This window comes from Homo sapiens, chromosome 2 (assembly GCF_000001405.40).
Source record: "Homo sapiens chromosome 2, GRCh38.p14 Primary Assembly".
Lineage (NCBI taxonomy): Eukaryota > Metazoa > Chordata > Mammalia > Primates > Hominidae > Homo > Homo sapiens.
In genome coordinates this window covers 231,275,142-231,287,897 of record NC_000002.12, presented here as the reverse complement: position 1 = coordinate 231,287,897, position 12,756 = coordinate 231,275,142, and the positions used below count along the sequence as shown (strand labels likewise).

Below are 12,756 nucleotides of genomic sequence, written 5' to 3'. Positions count from 1 at the left end.
ATTGTTTCCTGTCTTCTGCTATGATCAATAAAGCTGGAATGAACATTCTGATACATACATCTTTGCTCATGTCTTGTGTGGAGCTTCAGAAGTAGAATTATGGGGCCAAGAATATGAAAAATTTCTACACTAATTTTGAAAGGCCCATACTTAGGCCAGGCGTGGTGACTCATGTCTGTAATCTCATGATTACATGACATGATTACATGACATGATTGCATGACATGAGATTACATGACATGTAATCATGAGATTGGGAGGCTGAGGCAGGAGAATCGCTTGAGCCTAGGAGTTCGAGACCAGCCTGGTGACATAGTGAGACCCCGTCGAAAGGAAGGAGAGCAAAGCAAAGCAAAGCAAAGCAAAGCCCATACCTAGTGAGCATCACGGAATACAGTGACTAGGCTGACCACCTGTAATGGACAACTGTGACACCTGTGGCTGATGAATGCCTTATAACCAGGTTCTCTACACTGTTAATTTCCCAAGGCAACAGACAGAATACTCACATTCCAAGCCTCCCTTGCAGCTAGGGTGCAGGCACACCACCTAGATTCTGCCAAGCAAATGACTTTGATTCAGAAGTGGGCAATGTGGAGGATCAGGTGCGTGGGGAATACACATCATTCTGTTGGGTGGGGAGCAGCAGCACCCAGCCCTCTGGAGAGAGCGGAGGCAGTTTCTGGCATCATGGGCCTGTGCTGTGGGCCCCAGGGTCACTGGAGCAGAGCAGCCCCATGGTGTGCTTGGACATTCCTCTGGGCTGAGTGGCTTCTAAGCCCAGCTCCCTGGCCTTCCCAGATTCTGGGAGCTTTTATAACCTGCAGAGCCTCTGATCGGCTCCAGCCCTGGGCAGGATGTTTGTTGGGGTCCCCAGGGCAGAGGCCCATGGCTGACTATGACTCCAGCCCTAGTCGCAGGAGGCCTGGGGAGTGGGTATTAGGGCAGCTCCACTTATCTGATCTCTTCTCCAGCCCCAGGCCTTGGCAGGCTCTTAAAGTTCAAATGGGCCTCAGGGGATTCATTTATTTTGTTCTCCTTTTTCCCTTTAGGTATTCTTGTAAGATTACTATAATAGCATTTGGTACTAATGTAATTTTTATGTATATTGTGTCATTTTCCATGAGCACATACATTCTTAGATACTGTGCTTTTATCTCTCATTATACAGTAAAATAAATTTTTCCATACTGCTTCGTACTGCTTTTCCTAATTATCATCTTCAATAGATATTAATATTTTGAGCAAAAGAATCATAATTTCATTAGCAATTCCTGTATTACTAGATATTTATGTTGCTTCCAGCTTTTCCCTCATAAAAATGTTGAAATGAGCATTGTCATGCATAGAGCTCTTCTTCTGTGCATCAACAACCAGAAGAAAATGAATGAGTCCAAAAGATAGATCCTTTAGTGATTTTTCATGTAACTGCCAAACTGCTTTCCAGAAGGACTGTGCTGACACACATACAAATACCAGCAGGCACCGGGCGCGGTGGCTCACGCCTGTAATCCCAGCACTTTGGGAGGCTGAGGTGGGTGGATCACCTGAGGTAGAAGTTTGAGACCAGCCTGGCCAACACGGTGAAACCCCGTCTCTACTAAAAATACAAACATTAGCCGGGCATGGTGGTGGGCACCTGTAATCCCAGCTACTCTGGAGGCTGAGGTAGGAGAATTGCTTGAACTCGGGAGGCGGAGGTTACAGTAAGCCGAGATCCCACCACTGCACTCCAGCCTGGGCGACAGAGCAAGACGCTGTCTCAAAAAAATAAACAAATAAAAACCAAATACCAGCAGGGCTGAGGACATCAATTCTGCCTCCACTTCCCTAGCACCGTGCACGATCAGATGTCAAGGTGGAGGAATTGTGGGAAACGTTTTCCTTGTTGTCTTATTTCCTTCATTATTCAGCATTTCTAGCCTCCCTTTCAGCTAGGGTGCAGGCATACAACCTAAACTCTGCCAAGCAAATGCACCCATGTGAGACCTACATGCAAAGAGAATATAATGGCTTTATCAATCTAAAAACTTCCTCAAGGATAAACACGAAAGGAGGGAAATCTCAGGGTTTTAGAAAAACCTTATTGTGGGCATGATCATCCCTTAGAGGTCACTCTCACAAATAATTAAGTAGGCAACTGCCTAGCTGATGCGTTCTCAGGCTAAAAGGGGGTTCCTCCCTGGCTTATATCTTTAATCTCTGTTAAATGCCAGAGGGAAGCTTATTCTACTTACGTCTTTTTTTTTTTTGAGACGGAGTCTCACCCTGTTGCACAGGGTGGAGTCCAGTGGCATGATCTCAGCTCACTACAACCTCTGTCTCCTGGGTTCAAGCGATTCTCCTGCCTCAGCCTCCCGAGTAGCTGGGATTATCGGCGCCCACCACCACACCTGGCTAATTATTGTATTTTTAGTAGAGACAGGGTTTCTCCATGTTGGCCAGGCTGGTCTCGAACTCCTGACCTCAGGTGATCCACCCACCTCAGCCTCCCAAAGTGCTAGGATTACAGGCATGAGCCACCGTGCCCCATCATCTACTTACATCTTTATGTAAGTAATCCACATTTCCTTTTCAAAGTCCAAAACTCACAGCCTATCTAGAAACCTATGTAGAAGCCATTAAGGAAAATATTAACAGATCTGGCTATCATTAAAGCTGATGTTTGACCAAGACCGCTATAATTTTTTTTTTCCTTTTGAGACAGAGTCTTGCTCTGTTACCCAGGCTGGAGTGCAATGGCATGATCTTGGCTCACTGCAACCTCTGCCTCCTGGGTTCAAGTAATTTTCCTGCCTCAGCCTCCTGAGTAGCTGGAATTACAGGCACGTGCCACCACACGCGGCTAATTTTTGTATTTTTAGTAGAGACGGGGTTTCACCAAGTTGGCCAGGCTGGTCTCAAACTCCTGACCTCGTGATCTGCCCACATCGGCTTCCAACAGTGCTGAGATTACAGGCGTGAGCCACCGCTTCTGGCTAACTACCATAATTTAAAAAGACAAACCAAAATTGAGAAAATATTTGTAATATTTTTCAAAAGAATAGCCCCTCACTTCTCTTGTGCTTTTTTCTTTGACCCACAGTTACTTAGGAGTGTGTGGCAGCCAGCCCCAAGGTGGCCCCAGTGATTCCACCTCCTGGTAGTCACATCCTTGGTTCCATCCCCTCCACACTGTACCAGGGTGGGTCTGTGTAACCAAGACAATAAATGCGATGGTATCTCATTTCTGAGAGTAGGTTTTTCTAAAAGACACTGGGGCTTCTGTCTTGCTTACTTTCTCTCTCAAATCATTCATTCTAGGGGAAGCCAACTGCCATGTCAAGAGAAGCCTTATGGAGAGGCCCAAGGGGGAAGAAAATGAGGTCCCCAGTCAATAGCCAGAAGAAAACTGAGGCCTCCTGCTGACAGCCAGGTGAGTGAGCTTGGAAGCAGAGGCTGAAGTCTCAACTATAAACTGAGCAACTCTTAGTTAGGACTACGCTGCTATTGCTCTTGAATGTTTGTCCCACAGAAACAGTCATTGGTAGCTTAGTGATAGGGATATGTTCTGAGAAATGTGTTGTGAGATGATGTCATTATTGTATAAATATCATAGAGTAAGTGACAAACCTAGATGGTGTAGCCTACTACACACCTAGGCTATATGGCATAGCTAATAAGATCCTAGTGTACAAACCTGTTCAGCACGTGACTGTGTTGAATACTGTAGGCAACTGTAACAAGGTGGTATTTGTGTATCTAAGCATCTCTAAACATAGGTAAGGTACAGTAAAAATGGGGTATTATAATCTTATTGGACCATTATCACATATGCAGTCTTTTGTTGACCAAAATGTTGTTACATGGGACATGACTGTAATTTAAAAATTCAATGGCCAGGCTCAGCGGCTCATGCATGTAATCCCTGCATGGAGGCCAAGATGGGAGGATCACGTGAGCCTAGTAGTTTGAGACCAGCTTGGGCAACATGGTAAGACCCTGTCTCTTAAAAAAAATTAGCTAGGTGTGATGGCGCACACCTATAGTCCCAGCTACTGGATAAGCTGAGGCAGGAGGATGGCTTGAGCCTAGGAGATGGAGGCTGCAGTGTGCACTACTATCAGGCCACTGCACTCCAGCCTGGGCAAAAGAGCAAGACCCTGTCTCAAAAACTAAAACAAAAATTGGCTGGGCATGGTGGCTCACATCTGTAATCTCGGCGCTTTGGGAGGCTGAGGCAGGTGGATCACTTGAGGTTAGGAGCTTGAGACCAGCCTGGCCAAGATGGTGAAACCCCATCTCTACTAAAAATACAAAAATCAGCTAGGTGTGGTGGTGCACACCTGTAGTTCCAGCTACTTGGGAGGCTGAGACAGGAGAATCGCCTGAACCCAGGAGGCAGAGGTTGCAGTGAGTCAAGATGGTGCCACTGTACTCCAGTCTGGGTGACAGAGCCAGACTCTGTCTCAAAAACAAAAACAAAAACTTGTTTAAGCCACTAAGCTTTGGGGTAAATTGTTATGCAGTAATAGATAACTAATACCAGTGTGCTGTTTATTTTCCAAACATTTAGGGGTTTCCTAGACACCTTACTGTTACGTTTGTATTTTTCACCATGTCTTCATTATTTATTCAATCATTTTTCCGCCCCATTTGCTCACATTCGTCTCCTTCTGGAACTCCTATTGGGTATCTGTCAGACCTGATGTTGTCACATAGGTTTCGGAAGTTGTCCCTCTCTTCCGTCTTTTTTCTCCCTGCTCTGGGATCTCTAAGGGCAGTCCTGCTCTCACAACCTGCAACTGTGACTCTTCCTCACATGGCCCCATCCTCAGCTTCACTCCCCACCCCCTCCATCCCTTTGCCCTGGTGCCTTTCCTCCATGCTGCATCTCACACTTTGACTGAATGTTACCTCCATTCTTTCTCTTCAGCCTACATGTTTTTTCCTCTTCTTTGCCTTGGTTGACAACCCCTTTCTTTCACCTAAATGACCATAACGCAGAATTTAAGCAAGTTTATTTTCCCCTGTTCTGTAGTGAAATTTAAAAGCAGTAGGCAATTAAGGTCCACTGTTTAGTGTGATCACATAGAATGGTTCTTAAATAAGTTTGGTCTCTGGTGTAACTGTTGATGTAATTTTAAATGATCAATGAGAAGATTTAGCAATTCTTTAAGTAAGCAAAACCAATTAGAAGAATGTTTTGTTGGTCTCAATGAGAATTTTGCCTGTGTTTTGAAGGTGGAAATATATTTAATCCTTTCACCACAGCATTTAATACACTGTTAATCTGGTTTCACATGGTAGAAAGAAAAAAGACAAAACTCTAGTTGTTTTCCTGATTAGATCTAGAAACACTTGTCCTTTCAAAATAATATACTAATCACCTGAGGTTTGCTTTTTACTTCACATACAAGCGTTAACGTACACATTAAACACTGAGTTTACTATTTACCAACCAAACCAAGTCCTAGACAGTTTTATAATCTTTTCCATTTGGTTGCCATCAGAATGTCTATAACTTTGCAAAAGTCAGCCTGCTGGGAACTTTCTAACACTTTAATTTTTAACCATTTAGGAGTTAGGGATCCCCTTGAGGATCTGATAAAAGCTACAGACTCTCTCCCCAGGAAATGGCAAATATACATTTTACATACAATTTCAAGGAGTTTGGAACGGATCTGAGCCTTTCTATGGAGCCCAATCAAGGAGGTCTTGCTCTAAAAGCTCTGAACTGTGGCACTAAAGGAAGCTCACATGTTTCTCAGGCACGCTTTCTTACCATTGCTCTTGCTTCCTCACGAATGGATGGAACAGAAAGGATGCTGTACAGAGCTCCATTCACATACGGCTGTATCTTTAAGGGGAGGAAAAAAACCAGTTATTTGCAAGTTTTCAAATACTGCACAACTCTATATCAAACACCACACCTCAGAACAATCTGGCAAATGGGGAGAGTGGGTGTTCCCGTCCTCGCAGCTCTCCTGTGCTCCAGGATGTATGTTTCCAAGTGACAGACATCTCCATCTGCATGCCCAGGTGACAGCTACCACTGAGTCTAAAACCAAATTCGTCACTCCCTCCCAAAGCTTACTCCTGCGCATTTCATTGCTTAATTAAAGTTACCTTTAACTTCCTAATCACTCAGGCTAGAAACTCTGGAGTCATCGTTGATTTTGTTGTTGTTGTTGTTCAGTCTCCAATACTGTCTTCAAGCCTCTTCGATAGGAACCCCTCTTTTTCCATATCCACTGCTACTGTCCTTGTTCAGACATCATCGTCCATGAACCAGGCTACATCAAATCTCCAAACCAGTCTCTCTACCCTCAATATTCACCCTTTAATGTAACCATCGATCACTACCAACATTCTATAGCGTGGGCCAAATCATCCCTCTCTCCATCTCCGAAACCTTCCATAGAGCCCAGTTGGAAAGGTGGAACTCCTTGGTGTGGCACACAGGATCTTCAAGGGGTGGCCTCTATCTCATGACCTCTGCTTCTTCCTCCCTGCCACCACAAAGTGTCCATACTACCTAAGGGATGCCCCCCACCAGGCTGTTCCATGTCTCAGCCAGGTTCTGGCAGTTCACCTTGCCAGGAATGGTCTTCACACATACAATGAACCTTGAAAACTAAGCCCAGACATGTCTCCTGGGAAGGCTCTCCTGAACCCACCCCCGCCCCACTGCCCCCATACAGGCCACTCACTTCCGCTTCTTGTACATCCCTCCACTACAGCACTGGAGGCAGTATCCTTTTAAATTCACACTATGTCCCCTTTATTATGAGCTTTTTGAAGACAGGACCCATGTTTTACTTGCACACATGGGACATGGAGCATGGCAGGTGCTGATAAGCAAGTTCCCTTTTCAGCAGGCTGTACGCTGTGCCTGCCACAGCAATGGAGGAGGGCTCGTTTCCCACCGCCCTCCTTCGGCACTGGACTTCATTAGCACTTTCAATGCTTGCCAAGCTGATGGGTAAAAAAAGGCATCCTACGGTTGTTTTTATTTTCAGTTCCCGATTGAACTAGCACGACTGAACATCTTTTCATGTTTCTGGGGCAGCACGATTCTGTGAACTGTCTAGTCATATCCTTTATCCTTCTTTTCGATTGGATTGCTTGACTTTTACTTACCAATTTATACCAGCTCTTCATCTATTAGGAATATTAAACTTTTGTCACATGTGATGCAACTTTTCCTCGGGGTTTCATTCATCTTTTGACTTTGATTATGGCATCTTTTTCCAATCAAAAAATGTAATGTTCATATAGTCAGTTATGTGCATCTTTTTCTTTATTTTGGTTTTGTCTTTCAAGATCATGACTACTACAGTGTAGCAAACATATTACTTGGCTCTAAAGTATATATGTATGTATGTATGTATATATGTATATATATATGTCATTTTTCAAGCTCATTTTCTTTTTCTTACTTTATTTATTTATTTTTTTGAGACAGAGTCTCGCTCTGTCACCCATGCTGGAGTGCAACGGCACAATCTCAGCTCACTACAACCTCCACCTCCCAGGTTCAAGTGATTCTCATGCCTCAGCCTCCTGAGTAGCTAGGATTACAGGCACAAGCCACCATGCCTGGCTAATTTTTGTATTTTCAGTGGGAGAGAAGGGGTTTCACCATGTTGGCCAGGCTGGTCTCGAACTCCTGACTTCAAGTGATCCTCCTGCCTCGGTCTCCCAAAATTGCTGGGATTACAGGCGTAAGCCACCGTGCCCGGCCCATCCAGCTCATTTTCAAAGCCAATGCATTGGTAGCAGGTAATGATATGATGAATCCTTTGGTCTATTAAGTTTTCAGAGCAGACATATTGGTTCCAGTACTTGAAACCAACCTTTATTATGAGATGGAAGAATATGTTTCCCACTGGTTTCACCTGCCTGAGTTGAATAAAGTGAGGAACAGAGTTCATTCAGGCCTGGAAGTAGTTCAGAGCTCACTAGCTTTAAAATATAAAATGAATGTCACAAAGACACCAAACATCCACTTGCTAAAGAAGTCACACCAATCAGTGGATAGGGCTGGTGTAAAATGTGAATGGAATGACCAGAATGGGAGCTGTCTGCTTGAAATGGGAACAGACGGGCCAGGCATGGTGGCTCAGGCTTGTAATCCCAGCATTTTGGGAGGCCGAGGTGGGTGAATCACAAGGTCAGGAGTTCAAGACCAGCCTGGCCAACATGGTGAAACACCGTCTCTACTAAAAATACAAAAAATTAGCCAGACGTAGTGGCGGGCACCTGTAATCCCAGCTACTTGGGAGGCTGAGGCAGGAGAATCGCTTGAACCCGGGAGGTGGAGGTTGCAGTGAGCCAAGATCACACCACTGCACTCCAGCCTGGATGATAGAGTGAGACTCTGTCTCAAAAAAAAAAAAAAAAAGAAAAAAGAAAAAAAAGAAAAGAAAGAAAGAAATGGGAACAGATGTGTGGAAACCAAGTGGTACTCAATCGTATCCTGCTCAGATATACCCCTGGGTCTCATCTGTCTAAAGTGGTTAGATTTTTGTTGAAGCTTTGCCGTGGTTTCTGCAATGGCACTTGTAGAAGGCAAGTGAGAGAATAATCATATTTGATTATTTGTTTTTGTTAATTTGTTTACCCATACATACCTCTACTTTATTTAAAAAGTGCTTGGGGCCCATAGGTTAAAAACTTAGAAAATAACACCAGGTGTTGGGGCAACACTGGTGAGAGCAAACGCTAGTATAGCCATTCTGGAGGACAATTTGGCAGGACTCAGTGACCTGAAACTGATGTATGCTGGCAGCCAGTAGTGATGAGTGTCTACACATCCCTGGAAGCTCTGGCACAGGCTCCCATGGGGCAGGTGCAGCCATGCCCACTGAGGACTGCTGTGGCAACAGAGAGTGGATGGCACTCGAAGTGTACAGGCTGGATAAGTAAAATGTCAGGGGCACAAACAAGGGGCTATTTTGCAGTAGTGACACTTAATGAACTAGACATATGTAAAGCAACATAGAAAGGTCCTAAAAACACAAGGGAAAAGCCATAAACAGAATGAGACTTAAAGGGCAATCTATTTCTGTAAATTCAATACACACATACACAGTATCATATCTCTTTTAAGGCTCCATCCACATCCACAGAGATACATTAAACATACCAAGGGAATGGCATGTGGGGGAGGAATGTTGGGGGCTAGATGATGAGAAACAGCAATGCCGGAGGGGCCCGGCACAGGCCAGTGGGCCAAGCAGACAGGGACGGAAAGAACATCCTGCTTCTGACTTCCAAAATTCTAAAAATTATAAAAGATTTCCAGTTGCTTATGAAAATCCCAGAAGGACAGAGAACATGTACAGTTTTCAAATACAGCAACCATCCTGGGCCAGCTGTGTGCCTGTGGGGTCACAGGCATTGGGTCCCCAGTGTAGCCTCCCCGAGCCCAGGGCCAGCAGTGCTGAATGAGTACCTCATGGTTTTCATGGCCAAGAAGATCCGAAAGGACTTTGAGCACGAGGCCTGCCACCTTGGCACACATGTTCTTCCCTATGGGAAACAAATCAAAGCTAAACATGACATGTCTAAACCCAGAAGCACAATTTTAGGTCAGGTAGACTTGGAGACAAATCTTGGCTCCTCTGCTCATGAGCTGTATGACCTCGGGTGAGCTGTATGACCTCGGGTGAGTCATGTAACCAATCTGGGCCTCAGTTTCCTCTTCTTTACTACAGGGATTACTATTCATACCTACCTCAAAAGGTGATGCAAAATTAAGTAGACTAATGTATGTAAAGGACTCAGTGTAGCATAGAACCTCGGTGCTCAGTAAACCATCCCAAGTGGTGGCTATTACTCCGGTCAGAGCACAGAGCGAGTCATTACAGTGAAAGCACAATACATTATAGAGCAACGTTCTCCCTCCCACGCACGGACACCACCATCAGGAAGACCATATAGGCATTTTAGTAGTTATAAACATCATCATAAAAATCACTGCAAATATGGTGATGATGATGAAGAAAAGCTAATTCTAATCTGATAAACATATTAGAAGTTAGGACTTTTGGCTGGGTGCGGTGCTTTACGCCTGTAATCCCAGCACTTTGGGAGGGCGAAGTGGGTGGATCACTTGAAGTTAGGAGTTCAAGATCAGCCTTGCCAACATGGTAAAACCCCCTCCCTACTAAAAATACAAAAATTCGCCAGGTGTGGTGGTGGGCACCTGTAATCCCAGCTACTCGGGAGGCTGAGGCAGGAGAATCGCTTGAACCCGGGAGGCAGAGGTTGCACCACTGAGCCAAGATCATGCCACTGCCTCTAGCCTGGGCAATGGAGCGTGACTTCATCTCAAAAAAAAAAAAAAAAGGCTAGGACTTTTTGCATGCTATTTTTTTAAATGACTGAAATAACAGTCATTTACTCAGTCAACAACACACAGTTACATGGTTCAGTCTACAAAGTATATAGAGGGGAAGATGCTCCAACAAGTCCTCCTGAGCCAGCTGTTTACCCAGGGAGCCTTTCTCTCCTAACACTGGATGCTCAGGCTGGGGAAAGCCACAGCCTGGAGGTGGCACCTCTTCTAAAGAAGCTTCTTTCATCCCAGGTAACAATTTAAATGAGATAGTACCTGTACCTGGAAAAGCTCAAATCACTACCTTCAGCGATCAAGTATATAAATGACTGATCAAGTATATAAATGACTTGTGCCCACAGGAGAACCTCCACCTCCAGGGCTGGGGCAGGGAAAAGAGTGTGATTCAGGGCAGGAAGTGTGGTTTAGTGTCACTGCTACTGCGGCCAGCTTAATCCTATAGTATCTTGGGAACACACTTCTTTGTCTTCAGAAAAGGGGATCATATTCTTAATTTCCTACCTCTGAATAATGCAATAAAGAAAAAGGTAAATGAACTTAGTCTCCTCTTAATGCAGGCACTACATATATACAAGACATTTTTTCCAGGGCAAGAATGGATTTTGCCTTCAGGGATTCAACAGCTTGATACCTAGTTGGAAATGCTTTCTACTCCTTTTTCTGTTTTTAGTTTTCTATGAGACTAAAAGCAAACCATATCAGGCTCACTAGAAACCCAGCTTCAAGAGTCAAGATCTCTTCCCCTTCTTGCACTAGAATGAGGGTCGGGGCTGAGACCTGTGCTGCGGAGGCAGAGGTTCATGAGCAAAGCCACCGAGTACTCCAGCGTGTAGTCAGACAGGCAGTCAGGGTCCTTCAGAACATCAACCAGCCAGAAGATGAGGCCGTCTTGAATCATCGCTGTCTGCAGCGGGCGCCTGGGAAGAAAGAGCCTACGGTAAATACAAACTGCCAAGAAACTTTTCATATAAGAGGAAACAGTAGGCTGGAAGCAGTGGCTCATGCCTGTAATCCCAGCACTTTGGGAGGCCAAGGCGGACGGATCACCTGAGGTCAGGAGTTGGAGACAAGCCTGGCCAACATGGTGAAACCCCGTCTCTACTAAAAATACAAAAATTAGCCAGGCGTGGTGACGGCGCCTGTAATCCCAGCTACTTGGGAGGCTGAGGCACGAGAATTGCTTGAACCCGGGAGGCAGAGGTTGCAGTGAGCCGAGATCGTACCACTGCACTCCAGCCTGGGCGATGGAGCAAGACTCTGTCTCAAAAAAAAAAAAAAGAAGAAACAGTAATGTGAATGCATATCAGAAAAGACAAACTTACAGAAGACATAGACTCTGAGGAATATTTTTGTTAAACCCATACAATTGAAATAACAAAAATTCTTTACATTTCAGGGATATTTATTAAGGGTTTAAATAAAGATAAGGTGGTAAGGAGGCCTCCTACTTTGAAAGTTTCCTTTTCAATATTTAAAATTAGCAGAGCATTGCTTCAAATATCTAATAAATATTTATTTGTAGCTTTTGGTTTACTTAACCCAGGAAACAGGACCATAGAAATACTTCTTTGACAAATAGGTTTTTTGTTTTTTTTTCCTGAGACGGAGTTTTGCTCTTATTGCCCAGGCTGGAGTGCAATGGCACGATCTCGGCTCACCGCAACCTCCGCCTCCTGGGTTCAAGTGATTCTCTTGCCTCAGCCTCCCAAGTAGCTGGGATTACAGGCATGCGCCACCACACCCAGCTAATTTTGTATTTTTAGTAGAGCTAGGGTTTCTTCATGTTGGCCAGGCTGGTCTCGAACTCCCAACCTCAGCTGATCTGCCTGCCTCAACCTTCCAAAGTGCTGGGATTACAGGCGTGAGCCACCGTGCCCAGCTGACAAATAGATTTTTACCTAAACGCTCTATAATCCAGCTCTAGGCACTCTGAGCTGTATAAAAATAAAGAAAACAAGGAGGAGCAAAAGCCTAGCTTAACATCACTTTGATTCACATTTCTATAGAGTAAGGGTAGTTTAATGACCTGGTTAATGCAAATTATAAGGAATGATTTTCCACCCAAAGTCCAGGTGTAGAATCTTACAAAATCCAATACCCCATCAAAATGTGTGATGGTGAATGTCATCAGGTTAGCTTTAAGAATTGCTGAGACTAAGTGTGGTATCATTATGAGATGCCATCTGGATTAGTAGAAAACTGACATGCCACAGAGAAGCCAGCTCTGCACATCTCCGGATGCGCAGGTTATGGTGAAACCACCACTCAGGACAGAACAGCAGAACCAGTTATCCGTTCATCCTGTTCTTAAACACTACACTGACCCAATCAGGGTGGCTTATTAGAATACAGTGAAGACTGCGCTCTCTTGGTAACTAGCTACCTTCTTCATTTATTGCAGAGACTCTGGA

At 44.6% G+C, this 12,756-nt stretch overlaps 1 protein-coding gene across 10 annotated transcripts in view; it reads right to left on the bottom strand.

The window, feature by feature from the left end:
- ARMC9 (armadillo repeat containing 9) overlaps positions 1 to 12,756 on the bottom strand; it is a 178,218-nt gene that overhangs the window by 88,951 nt on the left and 76,511 nt on the right. For all 10 annotated transcript variants that reach the window (NR_148040.2, NM_001271466.4, NM_001352754.2 and 7 more), the window contains 3 exons: positions 11,123 to 11,262; positions 9,440 to 9,516; positions 5,765 to 5,839 (listed from right to left, as the gene is read on the bottom strand). Coding sequence is in view for 9 of the 10 variants with exons in the window: in NM_001271466.4 (NP_001258395.2) it covers positions 5,765 to 5,839; positions 9,440 to 9,516; positions 11,123 to 11,262 (292 nt within the window). In the remaining variant the exon portion in view is untranslated. The remainder of the gene's footprint in view (positions 1 to 5,764; positions 5,840 to 9,439; positions 9,517 to 11,122; positions 11,263 to 12,756) is intronic.